The following is a 22,898-nucleotide window of genomic DNA, read 5'->3' on the forward strand; positions in this document are numbered from 1 at the left end:
AACGACATAGTTATTGACTCCCAAGGTCAAATAATATATTGGTAACACATTTCTGCCCCTATCATAACTCTCCTTTCCCCACCTTGCCTGCCCAGGTCATGCTGACCTGGATAAAGAGCCAGACCTAGAGACAAAATCATCCCGACAGCTGCACAACAGGGATGATATGGCAACCTCAATTCTTGTCTGTAAATTTGTTGATACTCTTCCCATCCAGAGGTTATGGTCTCTATCCCCTCCCATTGGGTCTGGGCTGGTCTTAGGAATGCATTTCTAAGCAATAGAAAGCCACGGAAGTGATGCTGTAGAACTTGCAAGATTAGGTCAGAAAAGGTGATATAGCCTCTACCTTGCTTGCTGGGACACTTGCTTTTGGAACCTTAAGCCATCACATAAGAAATCCAACTACCCAGCAGCCACCATGCTGGCAGGCAGCTCAGGCCACATGGAAAAGCCCTGCACAGACATTCCTGTCAGAAGTCCTTGTGGTTGGGTCCTTCCAGCCCAGGTGCCAGACATATGAGTAAATGAACCTTTGCATGATTCCAGCCCCAGGCTCCTGGTTTTCCCACCTGGGGCCGTGGACTTCATGGAGAAAAGGCAAGCCGTCCCTGCTATGCCCTTTCCAAATTGCTCACCTAGAGGATCCCAGGCCCTGGAGAAACAGGAATGCCTTCAGGCACCTGATGTCTCTCCTTTCTTCCTCAGATCCCTGGGCTGGAGAGTCAAATCGTATTGCTCTCTTTCTCCTGGGCACCACTGATAGACTCGGAACCAGTTGTAGAACCAATATCCACTATTGAAAAGTGGAGAGTCAGGGACTCTTTCTGGCGAGCCCACACCCTTCATAATGTTGATTAAGAACACATACCCTGGGGACAAATCCTGGCTCCATCACTTATTCTGAGATGACTCAAACTCCCAAACTTCAACTTTTAATCTGTAAAATGGGGAGAGCAGTACACGCTTCATAAGGCTGTTGTCAGGATCACATTGAGGGAATCTAGGTAAAGTGCCTGGCATGTGGCGAATGCTCAAATGTCTTCCCCAGGAAGAAGCATCTCTTGTGACTTACCCCTTGTAAGACTTGAAAGCTGTCGTTGTTGGGTGGTGGGTCTTGATCGGGGTCAACACCAACTCTGAAAGTCACCAGGGAGAAAGACAAAGAGAAAAACAGAGCGTATTAGCTTGGCCCATGGTAGCCATGCAGGCTGCAAGTAGCCTGGAGGCTAATCATCTTCCCGAAGCATAAGGAGTGGTTAGCTAAAAGGTGAGGAAAGCTGTCATGCAGAAGTCATAAGAAAGAGGTCGCATACCACTTCAGATCCCAGAGGGTCAGAGGGGCGATGAATCCCATGTGCTCACACTCTAAGCAAGGCCGCCGGAACACAACACATGCTGGCAACTGTCCACTTGCTTTTCTGCACCAGGTGGTCCCAGTTATCAAAATGGGGGTCTCACTGCACTGGGCCCTTCCTTTGTGCTGCTTCCTCACTTCTGCCCTGGCCTGCTTTAATTTCTCTAACATTCTGTTATAAACTTTTTCAAATATACAGGGAGATGTTGAAAGACTTTAGAGTGAACCCCTATATACCCACCATCACTAGACTCTACCATTAACATTTTACTGTATATTCCTTATTACCTATCTATCCATTTCTCTATCACCCATCTTACTTTTTCTTTGGATACATTCAGATAAAGTTGCAGACATCAGAATACTTCCCCTAAATACTTCACGTGCATATTGACAAAGAGTCTCTCCTTGACCAAACTTTAGTCAGGCTCCTAGGAATTCACTTCCCAACTAGGCACTGACTTTTGGGCTTCCATGTCCATCTCAGCATAGCCCAATTTTAGCAAGAGGTTTGCTAAGTTGGTTTGGCCAGAACCGAACATCTGATTGGGTTCTTCATCCCCCCACAATCCCTCAGGTGATGTCTGATTGTCTAAGTTGGTTTGGCCACAGCCCAACATCTGAATGGCCTATCCCCAACATCTGATTGGATTCTTCATCCCCCCACAATCCCTCAGGTGGTGTCTAATCCCCTTCGCCTGTCTTCAGCAAGAATCCTATTGGGTCAGTTTAGCCAGAATCCCCCTTGCCCCTGATATTTCCTCTCAGTACTTCCCTATCCACTGACCCGTTTCTCTCCCCTGCTGCAAAACCCCATCACAGTGGTCCCTATTCCAATCGTGATGGTCCTGAACAACGTCTGCCTTACTGTTTAAATATACATCAGAATAATGTTTTCTTTAACAATATCATTAATTAGAGTCCTGACCTGCTTTCAATCCTGGTGCCCCTATACCCTCTTGCATCAAGATAGCCTTGAGAACTCACACATTTGAGAGCAACAACTAAAGACAGAAAGAAAAAGCAAAATGGCAGGACTCATTTATAACAAATACTATAAAAGCACCAGGGCAGTTGTCTTGGCTTAGAAACATACTAACTGGCACTCTATGCATCTGGCAATTTTTTTTTTTATCCTTGCACCTTCCTCATTCTGAGGCAGGATACTGTGCCATGGATGACATGGATAACACTGGGCAATGGGGGAAAGAAAAAAGATGCCAGGAAAATCCTATATCTGCCATGGAAGTTCCGACCTTCACGGCAGCCACTTGATATCAACCAAGTATGAAATGCAGCCCAAACTCCTGACAGCAGAGAGTCTAAAAGAACCTCCTGGGCCCTGCCACAGACAGAGGAGTGTGGGAAGGCCCTTGGGGTCTCTTGGAGGGCCTTGCTACTGATATAAGTGCAGAACAGGAGATTTCTAAGAAAGGAAACAAAGAGCTGCTTCTCAGCTTGCTGCTGCTAAAAAAAAAAAAAAAAAAAAAAAAAAAAAAAAAAAAAAAAAAAAACAGATCGGGGCCGTGAGACACAAATAATGTTTTGCACTTTTTTTCCCCTATTCAAGGTTGTTTACTTTAGGGCGATTTAGTAATTACTTTTCTGGCAGGGTTGAGGGCCTCTTGGACCAATCCCCAAGGATGACACGGGACCTTGTGGCTTCCTACAAAGAGCCCCACCCTTGGGGCAGAGCCCAGAACCAAACTGATCTCTGGGAAGAGGAGGTAAAGCAATGGGCCAGGGTGTTTTGGTGTGGAACTGGGCAGCAAGAAAGAACAGGCACAGGATTTTTTTTTTTTTTTTTTTGGTGAATTTTTTTGAGACGGAGTCTCACTCTGTCACCCAGGATGGAGTGCACTGGTGTGATCTTAGCTCACTGCAACCTCCATCTCCCGGGTTCAAGTGATTCCCCTGACTCAGCCTCCCGAGCAGCTGGGACTACAGGCAGGTACCACCATGCCTGGCTAATTTTTGTATTTTTAGTAGAGACGGTGTTTCACCATGTTGGCCAGGCTGGTCTCGAACTCCTGACTTCAGGTGATCTGCCCACCTCGGCCTCCCAAAGTGCTGGGATTACAGGCGTGAGCCACCATGCCCGGCCCAGGTACAGGATTTTAATTGCAGGTTTAAAGCCTCAGAAGACTTTAGGGTCCCCCAACTTTCTGAAATTCCTAGTGCCAGGTCACTGTCCACTTTATGTATCTCTCTCCTGACCTGGTATAACGCTTTTGATCCAGGACACTGGAACTTTTTTATGCTGTTTTATTATATCTTATTTTAGCATTCCCCTGATACATCAGGGCTAAGCTCATAAGAACACAAATGACAGCCTTTTCTTCCAGAATGGGCAGAATTATCTTTATTTTCATTAGGAATTAGATAAATGTGGACATCCCACACTAAATGAATAAATAAAGCAAGCAAACTGATGTGCTCATTCTGGAATGAATAAATACCAGAATGATATTGATAATATCATTGATAATTTCTCTGCTGGTATAATTTGTCCATTCTGATTAACAGATAAAATGCCATAAAATCTCGGAAAGTTTAGAAGTATTCCATGTTAATTAATAATTTTTTCTAAAAAAAAAACCCTGAATGGTCAAGGTTTTGAATAATTTGAGGAATATGAGACACACATCTTCATATAACACCTTGAACACCATATCATAATCTGAATTTGCTCATGTCCCAAGTCTAATAACTTACACTTTGCCTGAAGGACTTTCCTTCTTGAAGGCATGCTTCAAAGGAAAGGGTTTCCTCTGCAATTTAGCTGGTATCAAAGTCAGTCTCCAAAAATGAACATGTGTGTGTAGAAAAAAGTGTGATTTCAGTGAGCTTAAATACTTAAAGTAATTTCATGTGAGTCATTACAGTACACATACGGGGCCTAGTGATATCCCAAGACCCATGTCCCACTGCTTTCACCACTGCCCTCAAGGAAGTGAGATATTCTCACAGTGCCGAGAACAGAGTTGAAGCCTATTTTGCATTTGATTTATCTATCAGCACCGAGAATCAGATCAGGAAGAAAACATGCCAATTAGAGAAACAGAAAGGAAAGAAGAAACATTAAAGTTTGTACTTTGCTTGCCCAGACATCACCACCCTTAAGCATAGTTATATCATAAACTTGGAAGGATACAAGAAACAAACTGCATTAGAGGAATCTTTATCTTTTTGGTTAAACATTCTTCATATCTTCTGGTTCACCATGACAAGGCACAAGTACACAAATATGTATTTTGAAAAACTATAATAGCAGTGGTATTTAACTAAGATGGTGTAAGCCTTACCCCAGTCATGGTTGAAATATGAAAATTCTAGTTCTCTTTATGAATTAAGAGCCTTATTTACTAGATCACAAGCAGGATTTTGTGGGAAAAGTGTGGCTCTGAAAGTGAGCTGCTCTTAACACTAAGCTCAGTTGTACGAAAAGGAGACACTTGACAACTCAGGCTTTATGTTGGCAATACATTGCCTAAATGTGGGGAAAGCAGACAGAATCCCAAGAACACTGACACATCAATCAACCCAGAGGAGGGGTGGAAAAAATGATTAGAATTGACTCAACCTTTTGCACCTTTACTAAAAGTGGGGGTTGGCACACGCAGGAAGGAAGAGAAAAATAGTGTAAAGAGAAATATCTGAGGTTAGAAAGAGGAGAAAAGCCAGGCCCAGTTAATTTTTTCTGAGGATGCCCTTGTGTCACCTGAAGTACTGCCAGTGGTGTTCATTCTGGTCCTCTTCGGAGGGCTCCTCGACGCCAACTCTGGGCAGCAGAAGAAGGGAACGTGAGTGTGACAGGGACAACAGGAGAGCCAGGAGCTCTGGGCAAATGATCTGGACCATGTCCACCAGAGAATATTTTTCACTTTCAATATGAATCCATATCTTCTCTTAAACTGTCCCCATCCTCTAAAACCCAGAGAGGCTGAGAGGCCACTAAATTTAAATTTAAGGCAACAATGTCAAGAGCCAGGTCAAATGAGGATTGATCAGGAATGAGGATGAGCCCCTCAAAATATAATGTAATAAAATCAGAGGATGAAATACACCTCATAGAAAACAAATTTACATAATTTTTTCAGAAATTCATTTGTTTATAAAGATACCAAAAATAGAAAAAAGAAATTGTTGCTTAAATATGTTACACATATTTAAAGTGTTTACACATATTTTTACACATATTTGACAGAAAGAACAAAAAGCATGATATTATTGAAAAACAGCAACAATACTTAAGAAGACAAAGATGGCCTTTTTTTCCAGACAAGCACACCATGTTGTACATAGGATCAACCTGAAAGTCGGCAACCCAACTTCTGCTATTCTCTTTAGCTTGTAGCCTTTTGAATTGACATGGTCCACCTTCACCTTCCTTAATAATTTCTGGGTTACTTAGAGTGCATTTGAATCTTACCATCATGTTGGAGCAGGGTTTCGTAAACTCGGCAGCATTGACATTTTGGGTCAGATAATTCTCTGTTGTGGTGACCCGCATGGTGCACTCACTGTAAGATGTTTAACAGAGTCTCCGGCTTTCACCCACAAGATACTAGTAGCAACCCCACCCACCAAGAAGCTGAGGTTTTGACCCCTTCCTCTGGTTGTGGCCAACTAAAAACATCTCCAGATACTGCCAAATAAATGTCCCCTGGGCGGCAAAATTGCCCTCAGTTGAAAAATCACTGCACTGAACCACGTTTTCTCAATGGAGGCAGTATCACCCTCATGGGTATAAAAATTGGTTCTTGTAGGTTAAAAAAAAAAAACCACTCAGATATTATGATGGTTTGTAACCCTCCAAAGTGCCACAGCACAGACAGAGATGCATAGCAGATCTGTGATATTCAAATTTCACTGGGGGAGGTAACTGAGGAAAAAGTTTTTAAAGGCTCCTCAGCAGCGGCAATAACGAAAAAAAGATTGAGAACTACTTCACTAGACAATGCCCAAATTCTCATGTTATTAATATTCCCTGACATATGCAAGTGAGGACACGATGCTTCTTAAGGTGGTACTTTTAATTAGTTACATGTTCAGAATGTGACTTAAATCAGACTCTATTACTACAACATCGAAAAATTATAGCAAACACCAGAAAAACAAGCCAGATTCCTTAATGTAAGATTCATTGTCTCTTGAGAAATAGTATTAATAATAGTAGCAGCTGTAATGCTATGATTAATACTATTAATATAACAGCTAAAATATACTAAGTGCTTATGTGTCAGATGATACATTGATGAGAGAATTTTTCATTGCATTATTTATTACCACATTTTATCCTCACACTATGACTGTCCCCATTTAATCAGTGAGGAAACTGAGGGATACAGGTGAAATAAGTTGCCCAAGGTCACAAAGGTAGAAATGGTAGAGCCAAGATTCCAACTCAAGCTGCTCGTCTCCAGAGCCTCAGCTCTTCCTCTTATAGGATACTGCCTTTGATTCCAAGGAGGCATATTTAAGTTCTTTTAAAATATCCAGTTGCAAATGTTATTACATAAAGAGCTCAGGGCTTCTCCCTGCCTTTATTCCTTATGTTATCTTGCAAAGAGCTTTATTATAAATTCTCAGTCTAACAGGATTATGCCAAGTAGAGCATTCTTACTTGTCCTTGAAGGATTATATTACTACACCCTGGAATGTGAAAGTTACAGTTCATTTGGCCACCTGGGTGTATGTCGTTCCACCGCCCCCCCAACCCACTATCTCCACCATTTCGTGTGTGTTACTTGAAGCTGACGGCTCCTAGAAGACGGCCACCATGCTGTCACAATGTGGTCAGGACACACACAGGCTCATCAGGCAAAATAATCCCACCATCATTTTTTAAGTTGCCAAAATTATGTCCTTTGTCAATAACAACTCTTACTCAAGAGACTGAGAAAAATATTATGTTTCAACAGAAAGCAATTTGCACATTTTGCCATTATGTTTTAAAATATCAATCACAAAACACCAATGTAAAAAGATAAATTGGATTTATGGAAAGCAGTGACCTGGCTTTGGATTTATAGTTATATTCATTTTTATTTTATACACAGACTTGAAATTAGCCATAGTAAGAAACACAGCTAACTCCTATTTATGGTGAACTCCAAGAACCACCCTGGGCTTCTGACTTCTGGGCAGCTACTTAACAGCTCATCAGGGCCTCTATCAGTAGCCTGGAGAAGTAAAGAATGAGTCAGTGCTGATCATATCGAGGTCACAGGGGTCAAAATGCCAAACTGAATTTCAGGGGGTTTCTGAATCAATTTAGAATAAGAACCTGGGTTACAGAAATGATTCATGGCCATCACACCACAAGCCACAAGCCAGAAAAATTAATCTGTTTTATTACCTTATTTCAGAGGGAATTTCTTTTGATGTAATCTCTGTAAATGTCAGTTTCTACACTTATGTAATCATTATTTATACACATCTGGAAAAATGCAACGAGCTGACACATATATATTTTTCAGTAATGGCATTATGCTGTCTGGATAGAGTCAGACAGAAGGAAGGAAATTGATAAAGATAGAAATCAATTAAAATGAAATTAGAAAAACAATACAGAAAATCAATGAAATAAATAGCTGGTTCTTTAGAAAAGATCAATAAAATTGGCAAATGTCTAGCAAGACCGACCAAAAACAGAGAAGATATATCAAAAATGGAATATCACTATAGACCCCACAGACATCAAAAGGATAACAAGGGAATGCTACAAACAACATAAACTTGACAACTTAAATGAAACTGACCAATTTCACAAATTACCACAACTTACCCAATATGAAATAGGTCATCTGAAAAGCCCTATAACTAATAAAGAAATTGGCTTCATAATTGAAAAACTCCCAAAAAAGAAGTCTCCAGGCCCAGATGGTTTCACTGGAGAATTCTACCAAAAGTTTAAGAAAAATAATTAACACCAATTCTACACAATCTCTTCCAGAAAAAAAAAGAGTCAGGAACATGTCCAACTCATTTTGTGAGGCCAGATTACTCTGATACCAAAAACAGACAAAAGCAGTACAAAAAAAAACTACTACCAATATCCCTCATGAATACAGACATAAAAATCCTTAACAAAATGTTTGCTCATATAATTCAGCAATATGTAAAAGAATAATATACCACATCAAGTGGGGTTTATTTCAGAGAAACAAGGCTGGTTCAATATTTGAAAAGTAATCAATGTAATTCACTATATTAATAGGCTAAACAAGAAAAATCATATGATCATATCAATTGATACAGAAAAAATATTTGATAAAATTCAATACCTGTTCATGAAAAAAACTCTCAGAAAACTAGCAATAGGTAGGAACTTCCTCAACTTGAAGATGAACATCTACAAAAACCCTATAGCTAATATTATAGTTAATAAGGCAAGACCGAATGCTTTCCTCTTTTTTTTTTTTTTTTTGAGATGGAGTCTCGCTCTGTCGCCCAGGCTGGAGTGCAGTGGCGTGATCTCAGCTCACTGCAAGTTCTGCCTCCTGGGTTCACGCCATTCTCCCGCCTCAGCCTCCCAAGTAGCTGGGACTACAGGCACCTGCCACCACTCCAAGCTAATTTTTTGTATTTTTAGTAGAGACAGGGTTTCACCATGTTGGTCAGGCTGGTCTCGAACTCCTGACCTTGTGATCCGCCCACCTCAGCCTCCCAAAGTGCTGGGATTACAGATGTGAGCCACCGTCCCTGGAAAATGCTTTCCTCTTAAGATCAGAAACAAGATGAGGATGTCCATTTATACCACTCTTATTCTACATAGTAGTGAAAATCCTAACCAGAGCAATAAGGCAAGAAAAGGACACAAAAGGTACACTGGTTGAAAAGGAAGGAAAAAAAAAAAACTGTGGCTATTTACAAATACCATGATGGTCTATATGGTCTATGTAGAAAATTCAAAAGAATCTACCAAAAAAAAAAAAAAGGACCAAAACACTTTCAGAACTAAAGAACTAGTAAGTGAGTTCAGCAGTAAGGTGACAGGATACAAGTACTAACAAAACATGTACAGGACTTGGTTGCTGAAAACTGCAAAAATCGAATGAAAGAAATCAAAGAAGTTCTAAATAAATGGAGAAATATATCATGTTCATGGATTGGAAGATTCAACATAATAAAGATGTCAATCTCCCCAAAAATTAATGTAAAGGTTTAACATAATTCCTATGAAAGACCCAGCAAGATTTTTTTTACATGTAGACAAATTTATTCCAAAATTTATATGGAAAGGAACTAGAATAGCCATAACAATAAAGTGGGAGGAATCACTCTGATGCTAAGGTTTGCTGCGTAAGTATAGTCATCAAGACAGTATGGTCTTGGAAGGATAGACACATAAACCAATAGAGCAGTGCAGAAAGACACCCCCATGCATAGAGACAACTGATTTTTGACAAAGGAGCAAAATTAATTCAATGGAGTAGGATAGTCTTTTTAACATATTATGCTAGAACAACTGGATAGCCATTGGCAAATAAAACCTCAACCTAAACCTCACATCTTATATAAAAATTAACTCAAAATGGATCACAGACTTAAATGTACAGTGTAAAACTAAAAAGCTTTTAGAAGATAACGCAGAAGAAATCTTCAGGCCTAAGGCTTGGTGGAGTCCTTAGACATGATACCAAATGCATGACCCATAAAAGAAAAAAAATGATAAATTATAAATTAAAACTTCTGCTCTATGAAAGACCCTATTAAAAGGATTAAAAGACAAGCTACACACTGGGAAAAAATATTTGCAAACCATGTATCTGACAAAAGACTACAGTCTAGAATAAAGAACTCTAAAAACTCAACAAAGAAACAAACAATCCAATTTAAAAATGGACAAAAGACTTGAACAGATATTTCACCAAAGAAGACATATAAATGGTAAATAAACACATGAAGTCATGCTTAATATCATTATCTATGAGAGAAATGCAAATTAAGACCACAATGAGATATTCCCACATACCTATTGGAACAGCTGAAATGAAATACCCTGACAATACCAAATGCTGGGGGGGATGCTGAGAAACTGGATCCCTCATACACTGCTGGTGGGAATGTACAATGGTACAGCCACTCTGGAAAACAGTTGGCAGTTTCTTATAAAACTAAACACGTTTACTATCCAACACAGAAGGCACACTCCTGGGCATCTATCTTGCAGAGGTAAAAATTTATGCCCATGCAAAAACCTACACAAGAATATTCACAGTGGCTTTATTTATAATAGCCTAAAACTTGAAACTATCCAAATGTCCTTCGAGGGGTAAATGGTTAAATTAGTGGCTGGAGCCACTAATTAGGCAGCAGGGACCAGAGGAGGAATGTGGCAGGCCCACCTTGGAATGCTACTCTGCAATAAAACAGAACAAACTTGATACATGAACAACCTACATGGATCTCCAAGGCAGTTACAACAGCAAAATGTCAAAAGTCAACTCTCTACTCTCAATGGAAAATTATTTGGTCCCGTATATGTTTGAGGGGTGGGGGAGAAAAGGATTTATAAACTAGCATGAAAAACAAACATGATTTAATGAGGCTCTGAGCATCCAGAGCATCTACTAGGTGACCAGACAAACAGGAGCAGGAAGTAATCTCAGAGGTCACCAAATGCAAAGATTCTCAACTGTGTAGAGGGTAAACCTTTTTTCTTGCCCTAATTCTGCTACATAGAACAAAGATGGTACCATCTTATGTCTTAAGTTTAAAAGTAAGAGACTGTAAATTTTCTTCAGGTTTATATTCTCAAAGATGGATTCTTTTCCTTAATCCAACCCTTGAGATTCATGCCAGGAAACTGAAATTCTAACCTTCCCAAATTTTATAACTCTTCTTACAGGCAGTATAGCACAGTGGTTAAGAGTGTGGACTCTGTGGTATGAGTGCCTAGGTTCAAATCCTAGCTTGTCCACTTAAAGCTCTGTGACCTTGGGCAAATTACTGCTTTGTGCCTCAGTTTCCCCAACTCTAAAATTGAGATAATAGTCCTATCTCCCTTATAAGAATGTTATGAGAATTATCTTAATATATGTATGGTATCTGGAACAATGCCTGCAACGTAAGTGTTACTTATTATTATGACTAACACTGATAAACCCCATATTGGTTCTGCAGACCCACCTGGATCTCAGGCAGAGATACACTAGCCCAGAAATGGTGAAGCTGGCAGTGGAAGTGGAAGTGGCAGTGGCTGGCAGCAGAAGTGGCAGCCCAGGAATCTCTGCCTAACATCTATACAAAAACCCCAGACACAGGAGATGATTCTCTCAAATTTTAGTTTCTTCCCCCCAACCCCAAGGATGACTGGGAGATCTCTGTTCATTTTCTCTCCTCCAAGCTATGTACGCTCTGCAGCTGTGTCGGGCATTCTACAGTCTAGAGAATACAAACTAAAAAAGCCAGCAGAGAAAGAAAAACCATTGCCACCTTGTGGCTTTTCAGAGAATTTTTATTCACACCTTTGCACTACCCAAGTGTCTTCTTGTTCCAGAACACGGTCACCCTCTGCAGACCTGAAACTGTGGCAAGTGGCCAGAGCACATCCAGTGATGTGCAGCACGACACCTACAGCTGAAGTGCCCTTGAAATCACCTGGCAGAGTGTCTTCACTTAACACTGAGGAAACCTGAGGCCCAAAGACATGAGGGGCTTGTCTTTAACCCAAGCCAGAGTTGGGCTGTGGGTCTCTTGAACCTTATTTCCAGTGACCTCTTTACCATAAGATGCTGGAGCTCACAAACACAATTTGGAATTCAAGCGCTCTTGAAAAAGTCAAACTCGTATCAGTGCTCCTTCTGTCCTGACACAGCTACAAAGCCACAGGCAGAGGACATCCATGAAACTGCAACAGGTGAGGGTTACCCAGGAAATGTCACCTCTTTTGTACACTCAAGCAAGAAGAGACAGCATACAGCTTCATGCTAAAATAAAACTCTAATTGCCTCTATTTCTGGCTGGTGAGCTTATTCTTCAGAGTCTGGATTTCATTTCAAAGGAACATGAAATACTGGACTCTGCCAGGGGCTCTTGGTCTATTTTCTCTCCCGCAGCTTTAAGACTTTTTAAATTTTTGCTCTAATGTCACTGTTCTAGCAAGATCCAGGCACTTCTCATTCTTTGTATGTTTGCACTGACAAAAATTTTTAATGACTACATTTTTTCTCCTGGAAAACCCCATACTCCAAACTTTTACTTATTGTTTTAAAAAAAATTGTTAATCCCCCCTCACAAACAAAACCAAAGACTGTAAAAGGTTTCCATGAACTAAAGTAGCACATCCTGCACAGGTTGTTGAACATTCTCAGGAACGGTGACAACTGACATACTCAATTAGCCTTGGTTCCAAACCAACCTGATGTTAAGCCATGACAACATGGGTGTCGTGCCTCCTCCAATGATCCAGACAGTGAAGAACACAATGAGAAGGGTGGTCGTGAACATCATCTGGCGAGCATAGGATGCCGTGTCACGGATGGCCAACGCAAATGCCATTGCTCCCCTGAGGCCTGCGGGGACCAAAGAAGAAGATCTACTTATAAGGATTAAATGACAATGTTGTCTCAAAATGCACTGCTGCCATTTGGGGCTAATAAACTCTATTCATTCATGCTTCAGGGGCCAAGTTGTTTTACTCAGAAAGAAGAACCTTAAAGGCATGATTTTCTTTTATTTGATGCTGTCTTTTGCAAAACTCCCCAACACAATGAAAAAGCATTGTACTGCTTTGTACAGCACTTTTTCAGAATAATAACACTCCTATTACTTACATGATTCTGCTAGTAACATGAAGTAAAATATAAATAAGTAAAAAATAATATAAGCTAAAACTGTGATCCCAACACAACCCAAGCACTACACAGTCAATATAAATTTAAAAAACAGGCTAGGTACGAGTATGTCAAATTTGTGGAAAACAGTTCAGCATTTCCTTAGCAAAAGGGGAAACCACACAGAGAAGTGAAAACATAACCCAATCTACATCAGGGGTGGTCAACTCTTTCTGTAACCGGCCAGATATTATAGATTTTAGGTTTTGTGGGCCAAGAGGCAAAATCAAGAATATTATGTGGGTACTTAGATCAAAGGGACGAACATTTCCACAAATGTTTACTATCAAAAATCAATAATAATAATTGAGGCCACTTTGTTGTAATACAGGTCTAATAATGAAAAGAGGGAAATTCTTTCTGGAGGGGATATTTTGCTTAACTGTTGTTTCAAAGTCAGTGTTGTCTACATCAAATAGAGTACAAATATTCATCTGTATAAGACATTCTTAGCTCACGGGCTATGTGAAGACAGGCAGTGGCCAGATTTGGCCCAGGGGTTGTAGTTTGCTGGTACCTGATCTGCATTAATGGATTTAAGATTAATACCATCAGTTTAATGTTTTGGAGTTCATCCTTCTAAGCTCTTTTGTTCCTTTCCCATATCACGCTCATAATTTATTTTATAGTAAAGACTGAATCTGGCCGGGTGTGGTGGCTCACACCTATAATCCCAGCATTTTGGGAGGCCAAGGTGGGTGGATCACCTGAGCTCAGGAGTTTGAGACCAGCCTGGCCAACATGGTGAAACACTATCTCTACCAAAAATACAAAAATTGGCCAGGCATGATGGCATGTGCCTGTAGTCCTCTGCTACTTGGGAGGCTGAGGTGGGAGAATCACTTGAATCCTGGAGGCGGAGGTTGCAGTGAGCCAAGATGGTGCCACTGTACTCCAGCCTGGAGGACAGAGCAAGGCTGTGTCTCAAAAAAAAAAAAAAAAGACTGAATCTACAGTCTTTAGTACATATCTAGCATTAATTTTTATTCACCATGGGCAAGACTGTATAACATGCGAGAGAATGAAAACTTAGACCTACTATATCTGTTTGTACATCTTTCTATTTTGCAATTTCACAATTATTAATATATGTAATCTGAGCACTTCACTACAATTCACTAAAGAAGAGTGACATCAATAAAAGTTACATTGAAAACAAAGTTGATGTTTTCTATTAATCTGTCCTAGATATTTATACACATCTAGGTCACCCTACAGCCAGCCAGCTATGTCACTGGTCAACATTTAAGCCTCTCAAGGGATGCTGACTCAAAGAAAACTTGGGCATCAGAGAGAGACCAAGTATAATACATTTTTCTTTATTTCATTAGGTAAGCATGGTAAGCAATATGAAAGTGAAACCTCAGGTATTTCATAGCCTTGACAAATGAGTTCCTTTTGATAGGCAGATTTCTCCCAGCATAAAATATTTTTTATTGGAGATATCATTAAACAGCACTGTGCACTTCTCAGCTTTTTAGTACAGAAGCCAATGAGCATATTTAAGTTGACCTAGATGACAGGGTTAGCTCCAACTAATCTTCCTCTTGTCCACTGGCATATTCCTAATATGTACATAGAAGCTTATCACCGTCCTCTTCACCAAGCTCTGAATGTCTCCCTGCTGCTCTTGAGTGAAGCTCAAACTCTTTGGCACAGCACTGGAGCTTCTCTGAGGTCTCCACTCTACCTACAGTGGTGGTTCTCAAAGTGTGGTTTTCAAACCAGCAGCAGTGGCAGCTCAGAAATGTTAGAAGAGCCCACTCCATATCCCCAGAATCAGACAGTGAGGCCCAGCAATCTGCACTTTAACAAGCCCAATGGGCAATTCTGATGTAACCTAAACGGTGAAAATTATGAGTTTAGATACAATTCTCCTTTCCAACCTCACCTTCTTTCCCCACTCCCTTTTTTTTTTTTTTTTTTTGCATATCATTCCTTTCTTATACTGATTTGGAAAAAAGATTTAGTACAGTTATGCTCAAAATGAGTACTGGGCCCATGTGGCATGGCCAAGTAACTAAAACGTGATTCAGAAAACAGGCAGTGAAAGACACACTTGGACGTGATCAAGAGGCACTTCACTGCCATGAAACAAGGCGGGGCAGGGATTCTAAAATACACAGCAGGAGGCACTCCTACCCCTTACAAGTCAAGGAGCTTATGCCATATTGGTATAAGGAATGGTTTATTTTCTGATGATCACGTGGGATTATTTCAACTGCCACTAGAAACTCCACAAGGACTTTTGTTTTGTATTATTTATATACTTTTTTTTGTAAAATAAATGCAACAGAAACTTAATTCAGGATTGATCCCACTCATCAAGTAGAGCCAGCCCCTTTGGGGTCAGGGAGGAAACTGTTTTTTTTTGTTTTTGTTTTTGTTTTTGTTTTTTTACATCACCATGCAGGTTACATTCATCTTCCACTGGAATGACTAGAGCCCTCCAGGTAGTAGCCTGACTACAGAAGAACACAGGACTGGCTCCTGGGGGCAAACAGGCTCTCTTGCTTCTCCTCATTGGCCATGCCTTAGCATGGTTCCTCCCTATCTCCTACTCAAGCAGGTCCTCAGTACACAAAGCCCTGGTAAAAACCCAAGTCCCTACCTCTCAACTCTTTTGGATAAGGGGAGTTTTCCCTGGGCTTGGACTGAAAATCTGTGCCCTCCCCGGAGATGCTATCTTGTCTAGATTGTGTGAAGACAGTGGGTGCAGGAGAAAAATGGCTGAAATGAAAAATGGGAGCCACTGGTACTCATCTGTAGCTACAACTTCAGATGCCTACAGATGTGGTCAGTGTGACATGTGTAGTGGGGAGGGGCAGAGGAAGGGACGGGCAGGGAAGGTGTTCCCGGCGAAAGTAGTCTGTCCGCTGGCCTTTACCTCTTTTCTTTATCCTGGGCAGCCACAGCTTCCATGGCTTTATGCACGGTCTCTTCATCCCCCAGGAACTGCATGCGCCTGATGTGCTTCAAGTTCTTGTCCAATTCATAGACAACGAGAATAGCAGTCAGCAGGTTCTGCTCTGCAGAGAGACCCTCCAGATGCTTGACAATGCCGGGGAAGCTGTTGCCATGGGCTGTAATCAGTACCCATTTCCCCTCCTTAATCTGGGGAACTATTTCTTCATTCCAAAGGGCAGAGCTCTGGCAGAAGTGTCCTTCAGACCCTCACAAGAGGGTAGCTGATCTTCAGTGAGGGGTACATACCTGCGATCTTTACTGATGCTGCTGTAGAAGGGATGATCGGGCTCTATGAGAGGTGGTGGGACATCACAGGAGCGCCTCCAGATCTTTACCATGCTTGGCAGCAGTTTCTGCTTTACGGAGGTCGGTCAGACCACCAGAGTGCCACTCATTAAGATGCCAAGTCCTCACTACGGGCAGCCACATCAGGTCAGTGGCATCTGGCACTGTCCAGAGGGTCCAGATCGCTCTCTTCTGCACTGATGTGAAGTAGATGTTGAACTTATAGCCAGTATCTTGCAGTGCCTGTCCACCACACTTCGCCTCCTTGTGGCTCCCGGGCTCAGGGCGGTGTCCTTCCAGCCACTGAAGCAGTTCTCCAGGTTCCAGGCACTTTCACCGTGCCAGATCAGCAACAGCTGGTAGGCGGCAGTGGTGGTCAACCTCACCCTCTTTCTGCATTACTCCATGTATCTGACATTTAAACCAGACTGCTGCCCTTCCCTAAACGAGCCAGGCATGCTAATGCTTTTCTGCCTTCCCAAACTGCTGCCTCCTGAAATTCCATTCTTCCAAGCCTAGCTAAAAGGCCACTCCCTTTGTGAAGATGGCCCTGAGCCATTCTCTTCTTGTTCACATTTCTTTCAGACCTCTTTTGTGCAATTCACCAACCTCTCTTGGAAGAAAATTAACTCTTTGTGTACCTGCCTCCCCGCAGCGGACTGTGAGCTCCATGAAGGAGGCTGGTCTTTGCATGCTCCACAACCTAGAGCTGTGGCTTATGAAAAGAGGATGCTCAATAAATGTTTGTCAGAGTAAAAGGAAATCATCTTAGAAGACTGTACCTGTATCTAAGTTCAGAGGCAAGCTAGCATGAGATAAAATGACTGCTTTACTGAGCAGTGCCTGTTGGTTTGATTTCAGTACGACCACTGCATGGCAGTAAAGGTGGCTGCAACTCATTCTCTGTCTTAAAGGACAGAGGTGCCTTTAAGGGTCACAGTAGCCTTTTGCAACTAACTTCTCCTCCCTCTGTTCTGCAGAAATGCTCTAACTTGGGTCCATTTCTATAAAGCTGACGCTTACCACCCTCACTGCATCATCCACTCATGCCAGTTGCTCTCTCCTTACTCTACTTCCACAGCTTTCTTTATTGTCCTTTGTCCCCTCAGTGGCTTCTCCAGACTTCTCAGCTTTACAGGGAAAAGGGGGGCATGTGGGAGACAGTGTCAATTAAGCAGGATGATCACAGTTATTAAATTCTAGTGTTGGGTCCCTCTTGCTTACATGAGTGTATTTTATTTCTTTTGCTCCACAGAAAGTTAGAGCTGGGGGACCTCAGCTAATTAGTTCAATTTCATTATTTTACAAGGGAGGATACTGCGGCTGGGAGGTGTTGAGTGACTTGGCCAGTGGTCTTTCTCATCAGGAGCTCTTTTCCTTCTAATTCTAGAGCTGGTGCCCTTCAGGAAGCTTAAGGGTTATGAAGATCTTCTAGAAAACAATCAAGCACTTTAAACACCATATCTCCAGGTCCGTTGAGTGGTAGTGATGAAATAGAAATGCAAATATTTTAGGGGAGAATGTTCACATTTGGTAGTACGGTTTGCAAAATCAACACTAACTCAACTGAACATGTACATCTGTCTATTTCTCACTGCAGGGGATACAAACGGACCAGAAACTTGAATGCTTGTCTTTTTATGAACCTTATCAATTACATTTTAATCATATTCTTGTTACCTGCTGAATAAAACTCATTTTCTTTACACTTACGCCTTTTTACCTGAAAACATCATCATGTGTTGAAAATTCCAGCCAATCTTATGCCTTCTGCCCAAGTTGAGGAAGAAGGAGAGCGGGTAGATGTGCGCGGCTCTGCCCAGGAAGATGGCAACCTGACCACAAGGTAGAAGGTTAAGGGACCAACAGTTTCCAGAATGGCATTCCACACAACCTCCGGCTGAGCAGAGAATTTTAGGAATGCTGTGACACCTCGTTATAGTCCAGAGAGCTGCCCAAAGAAGCTTGACTGTCTAGTTCCCCCCTAGACAAGTTTCTCAGCAACAAAATGGGACTAATTTGGCCAAGCTTTCCCACCTCCTGATTCATAGAGATCATTTCTAGCTTGTTAAACACAATATTGTAACTTCTTGATTTAATTCAACTGATATCTATCTATCTATCTATCTATCTATCCATCTATCTAAATCTATCTAAAAAGGAGTCCAGAAATAAGCTAAAGTACCACAGCAGGAGAGAGCAGTTGAGAGAAGCAAACAGTGTGTGTTGGGCTCTACTAAAAGAAAAGGCACTAGAAGAAAACAATTGCTAATCCTGCAGTCAAACTATAAAGAAAAAGTTTGCTGGATAAGCGCTTGCAGGCTTCATTTGCAAGTAAACATCAGAGACTTTAATGGTCAGGAAGAGCCTGCAAATAAGAGGTGGGGAAACTTAAAATATTCACCACACTAAAAGACATTCAGATCACTCATAGGAATGAACCCAGGGAGATATTTCTCTACCTAAGTAGCTAAAATGTTTTTTGGAGATGTAAGAAATGGAAAAGGAGTATGGAAAAAGGAACTCTGCTGTGGAAACCAAAGAATGCAGGGAAACTGGTCCTTTGTTACTTGCTGAGCTTAGAATAGTGCCCAACTGAGAGAGCTACACACTCCCCTGGTCAGAGAAGGGAACCCCTGTGGGAGCCAGAGGAACAGGGAGCTTCCGTTTTGGCAAAACACCAGCTGCAGGAGCTGCAGCTGTTTCAGACAGAAGCCAGGGCGGAACTATCTTCTCTGTCTCCTGCAGGGTAAAGCACTGCCTGTTTTTCTTCCGTTTTCTTTGTTTTGTTTTAAGCAGAAAGAACCAGGTAATGCTTATAAAGTACATTCCATCCCAGAAGAGAAACAAAAGTCCTTAAGTGGTAAGCAGCAGTTAGGATCTGCAGAGGACCCGGCTTGGCCTCTGCCAGGCCCTCATCTGTAAACAGGGCTGTGCTCTCACTATCTCTCACAGGGTGTCATGCTAGGAATACAAATCAAAACAACATGCAAGGTCTTTCTCAAAAAAGAATAAAAACACTGATCTTGCAGATTTTTAGCTATTAGTCTGGTAAGCATGGAAATCCAAGAAATGAGCCACTGGTTTAAGCGTAGGAGGCTCTCACGCTAGAAGGATTCCAGCATTGCATTAGGCCACTGTCACTGTCCAGCAGCTTGGTGAGTGTCAGTCATTCCTGCACAATAAATTAAGCCCAGAAGAGAAAAACACTGCTTTTTTGCCAGCATTCCAAAATCTAAGGATAATCATGAGGCCTCAGAAAAGGCAAATGTGAATGTCCAGCAATAGGGGACTGCGCTCAGTATCTTGAAATCAAGCCCCAGAAAAGTTCACTTTAATAAAAACATAGTATCTGAGGCCAAGTGAGCAAAACCCTCAGCTGTCCATCCACTGGTAGGCACATGAGAAGCCAATCCCCCAAACTATGTCTATATTCCAGAAACTGCATTTACAATGGGCCCAGACCAAGGAACCAAATATTTTTCTATTTTATCTTTTCTTCCCTTCATTTTTCTTTTTCCTTCTCCTTTTTTTTTTGGTGGGGGCGGGGAGAAAGAGTCTTTCCCACCATGATCTGCAGCAGCAGGGAAGCTTGAGAAAAAGTAGGGTCACTGCCTGCAGGCAACCCTGGGCAGTGTGAGGAAGGGCTGCCCATACTGCAGACGTAGTCATGAGCAAGAGGAACAGAACCTTTGGGTCATCCAAATCAGGGAACCTCCTGGATTGGAATTCATACAGCAATGAATTGTCAAAAATAACACTGGAGACTGACATGGTTGCTGACTTTTAGATTCACCAAGAAGAGCACTTTACAAAACAATCACCTGCCGAGCACCAGTTTAACAGAAAGGCCATCTTACATAGAAAAGGCAGAAAGGATGATCTTGGAATACATGCAGTCCTTTAAATCAAATACATTTAGTGTTATGAAATGCCACTTAAGCCTTCTTTTTTTCATCATAAAAACCCTGTGAACTAGCATGGAGTTAGTCACCTACCCAAAACAGAAATAGTAATTATTATTTTATGATGGTTTATATTATTATATTATTGTTATTTTATATTATTATTATGACTATTATTACTATAGCTTCTCCAACAGTGGTCGTCTCTGCATGTAGAAAATGGTGGAACAAGAAAAGGATACAAAAGCTCCGATGATGAAAATGGGGCTGAAAACGTGCTTCTGGAAGGTAAACAGTGCCAGGCCCATGTAGGAGAAGATGAAGTTCTCTGCCAGGAAATGTAACACCTCAAAGAGCTGCACAGAGAAGGGAAAAGGAAGCTGTAACCCTGCAGTTCCCCCTTCCCTGTGTTAACAAGCAACTCGTGAGTACCAAGCCTCTCTCTCACCTGCTTGGTTCGACTTCTTGATTCCACCGACAGATTGTTGTAGGTGTAATGAGCTTGTGTGATTCCACAGAAAAGGACAGCTACAACACCTGTTAAAACATCCCCCCAAAAAAAATCAATGGAAAAAAAAGAGGCAGGGGAAAAAAAAAACCCTGCTAGAACAAAAAGTTAAGGTAGGCAAGCCTAGCATATCCAACTTCCTGAATATTTTTGAAACTTTCCTATTGCTGGGTCGGGCGCAGTGGCTCACACCTGTAATCCCAGCACTGCAGGAGGCCAAGGCAAGCAGATCGCTTGAACCCAGGAGTTTGAGACCAGCCTGGGAAACATGGTAAAACCCCATCTCTACCAAAAATACAAAAAATTAGCCGGATGTGGTGGCGTGGGCCTGTGGCCCAGCTACTAGGGAGGCTGAGGTGAGAGGATCGCTTGAGCCTGGGAGGTCGAGGCTGCAGTGAGCCATGATCACGCCTCTGCACTCCAGTCTGGGCGACAGAAGGCAACCTTTTCTCAAAAGAAAAAAAAAAAAAAAGAAAAAGAAAAAAAAGAAAAAAAAGTTTCCTATTACTACTGAACACTCCTACAACCCCTCACCTCTCAACCTTTGTGTCTCCCAACCCTGCCTTCCTTCAAAGCCAAGTACCTCAACATCCCCTCCTTGTTCCAGTTTTAAGGGTATCTCCTGCCTCCTCTAAACTCCTCCAACTACCATCTGTAGTTGGCATATAGCATTCATTCCTTCAAAGAGACTGTGAGGGCCCATCCAAATTTTTGCCATATTCCTCACTGTTTTTAGAATGAATGAACTGAATTTCAAACTAATGCTTTATATACATATATATTTTTTGAGACAAAGTGGATTATATATTATATATCCCTCAGTGGACGGCAGTGGCATGATCTCGGCTCACTGCAGCCTCTATCTCCAAGGCTCAAGTGATCCTCCCACCTCAGCCTCCTGAATAGCTGGGACTACAGATGCACACCACCACACCCAGCTAATTTTTGTATTTTTTTGTAGAGATGGGGTTTCTCCATCTTGCCCAGGCTGGTCTTGAACTCCTGAGCTCAAGGGATCCACCTGCCTTGGCCCCAAAGTGCTGGGATTATATAGGCATGCGCACTGTGCCTGGCCTAGATTTTTTCACAGTCTAGGGCTTTAGACAAAATAGATCAAGAGTACTATTCCATTTATCCAAGCCCCGATCTTCTATATTTCTGGTTAATGGTAACCATTTTGTTGTGCGAGACAAATGACACACCTGGGACTTTGCCTACACATTTACAGATAACTGTTAAATTTTAAGGAAGTGGGGCATTTTGTAATGCTGCATATAAAGATTTGCTACAGTATTTTGAAAGGGTGACAAAAGTACATCCTAAGTACCTGGATTATGTACAGAACTGTACTTGAATTTTCTAATGGAAAAATTCAATGTTTTTTTAAAATGAAAGAATGTGAGGAAGTAAAACCACATGTTTCACCTCACTAATACTATATGAAACTGACACCATAAAAATGTGATATTGAAAAGCAATGATTAAATAGCCCAGAAACAAAACAATGAAAAACCGTGTTCACACTCATCTGAGCAGAGGCAAAATCACCCTTTAAAGGACACATATTTTGCTTGTTATTGCTACTGTTTGCAAAATAACATAGCAATCAAGGGAAATATACAAATAAAATTTTAATAGATTCTTTGCACCTTAACATCTACTTACAGTTAGAATGAGTACTCAAAAATGTAATTGACTTTGGAATGATAAACTTTATCATTAAAATCTACTTTTTCAGGCTGGGCATGGTGGCTCATGCCTGTAATCCCAGTGCTTTGAGAGGCTGAGGTAGGAGGTTCACTTAAGGTCAGGAGTTTGAGACCAGCCTGGACAACATAGCAAATGTTGTCCATCTCTACAAAGAATAAAGAAGTTAGCTGGGTGTGGTACGTGCCTGTAGTCTTAGCTACTTGGGAGGGTGAAGGGGGAAGATCCCTTGAGCCTAGGAGTTCGAGGTTACAGTGAGCTATGATTGTGCTGCTGCACTCCAGCCTGGGTGACACAGCAAGACCCTGTCTCTAAAAAAATAAAAT

General features: G+C 41.5%; 1 protein-coding gene and 1 pseudogene across 10 annotated transcripts in view; both read right to left on the reverse strand.

Annotated features, from left to right (window-relative positions):
- Nucleotides 1-22,898, reverse strand: part of SLC9A7 (solute carrier family 9 member A7) — a 159,868-nt gene that overhangs the window by 31,260 nt on the left and 105,710 nt on the right. For 7 of the 10 annotated variants that reach the window (XR_007068203.1, NM_032591.3, XM_017029905.2 and 4 more), the window contains exons 9-14: nt 20,806-20,894; nt 20,600-20,713; nt 18,176-18,287; nt 12,726-12,879; nt 5,079-5,138; nt 1,076-1,139 (exon numbers count right to left, since the gene is read on the reverse strand). Coding sequence is in view for 9 of the 10 variants with exons in the window: in NM_032591.3 (NP_115980.1) it covers nt 1,076-1,139; nt 5,079-5,138; nt 12,726-12,879; nt 18,176-18,287; nt 20,600-20,713; nt 20,806-20,894 (593 nt within the window). In the remaining variant the exon portion in view is untranslated. The remainder of the gene's footprint in view (nt 1-1,075; nt 1,140-5,078; nt 5,139-12,725; nt 12,880-18,175; nt 18,288-20,599; nt 20,714-20,805; nt 20,895-22,898) is intronic. The other 3 variants (XM_047442581.1, XM_047442582.1, XM_017029906.3) reach the window with 1 other exon arrangement.
- On the reverse strand, nt 15,889-16,828 carry PGAM1P7 (phosphoglycerate mutase 1 pseudogene 7; annotated as a pseudogene).

This window comes from Homo sapiens, chromosome X, assembly GCF_000001405.40.
Source record: "Homo sapiens chromosome X, GRCh38.p14 Primary Assembly".
In the NCBI taxonomy this organism is placed as follows: domain Eukaryota; kingdom Metazoa; phylum Chordata; class Mammalia; order Primates; family Hominidae; genus Homo; species Homo sapiens.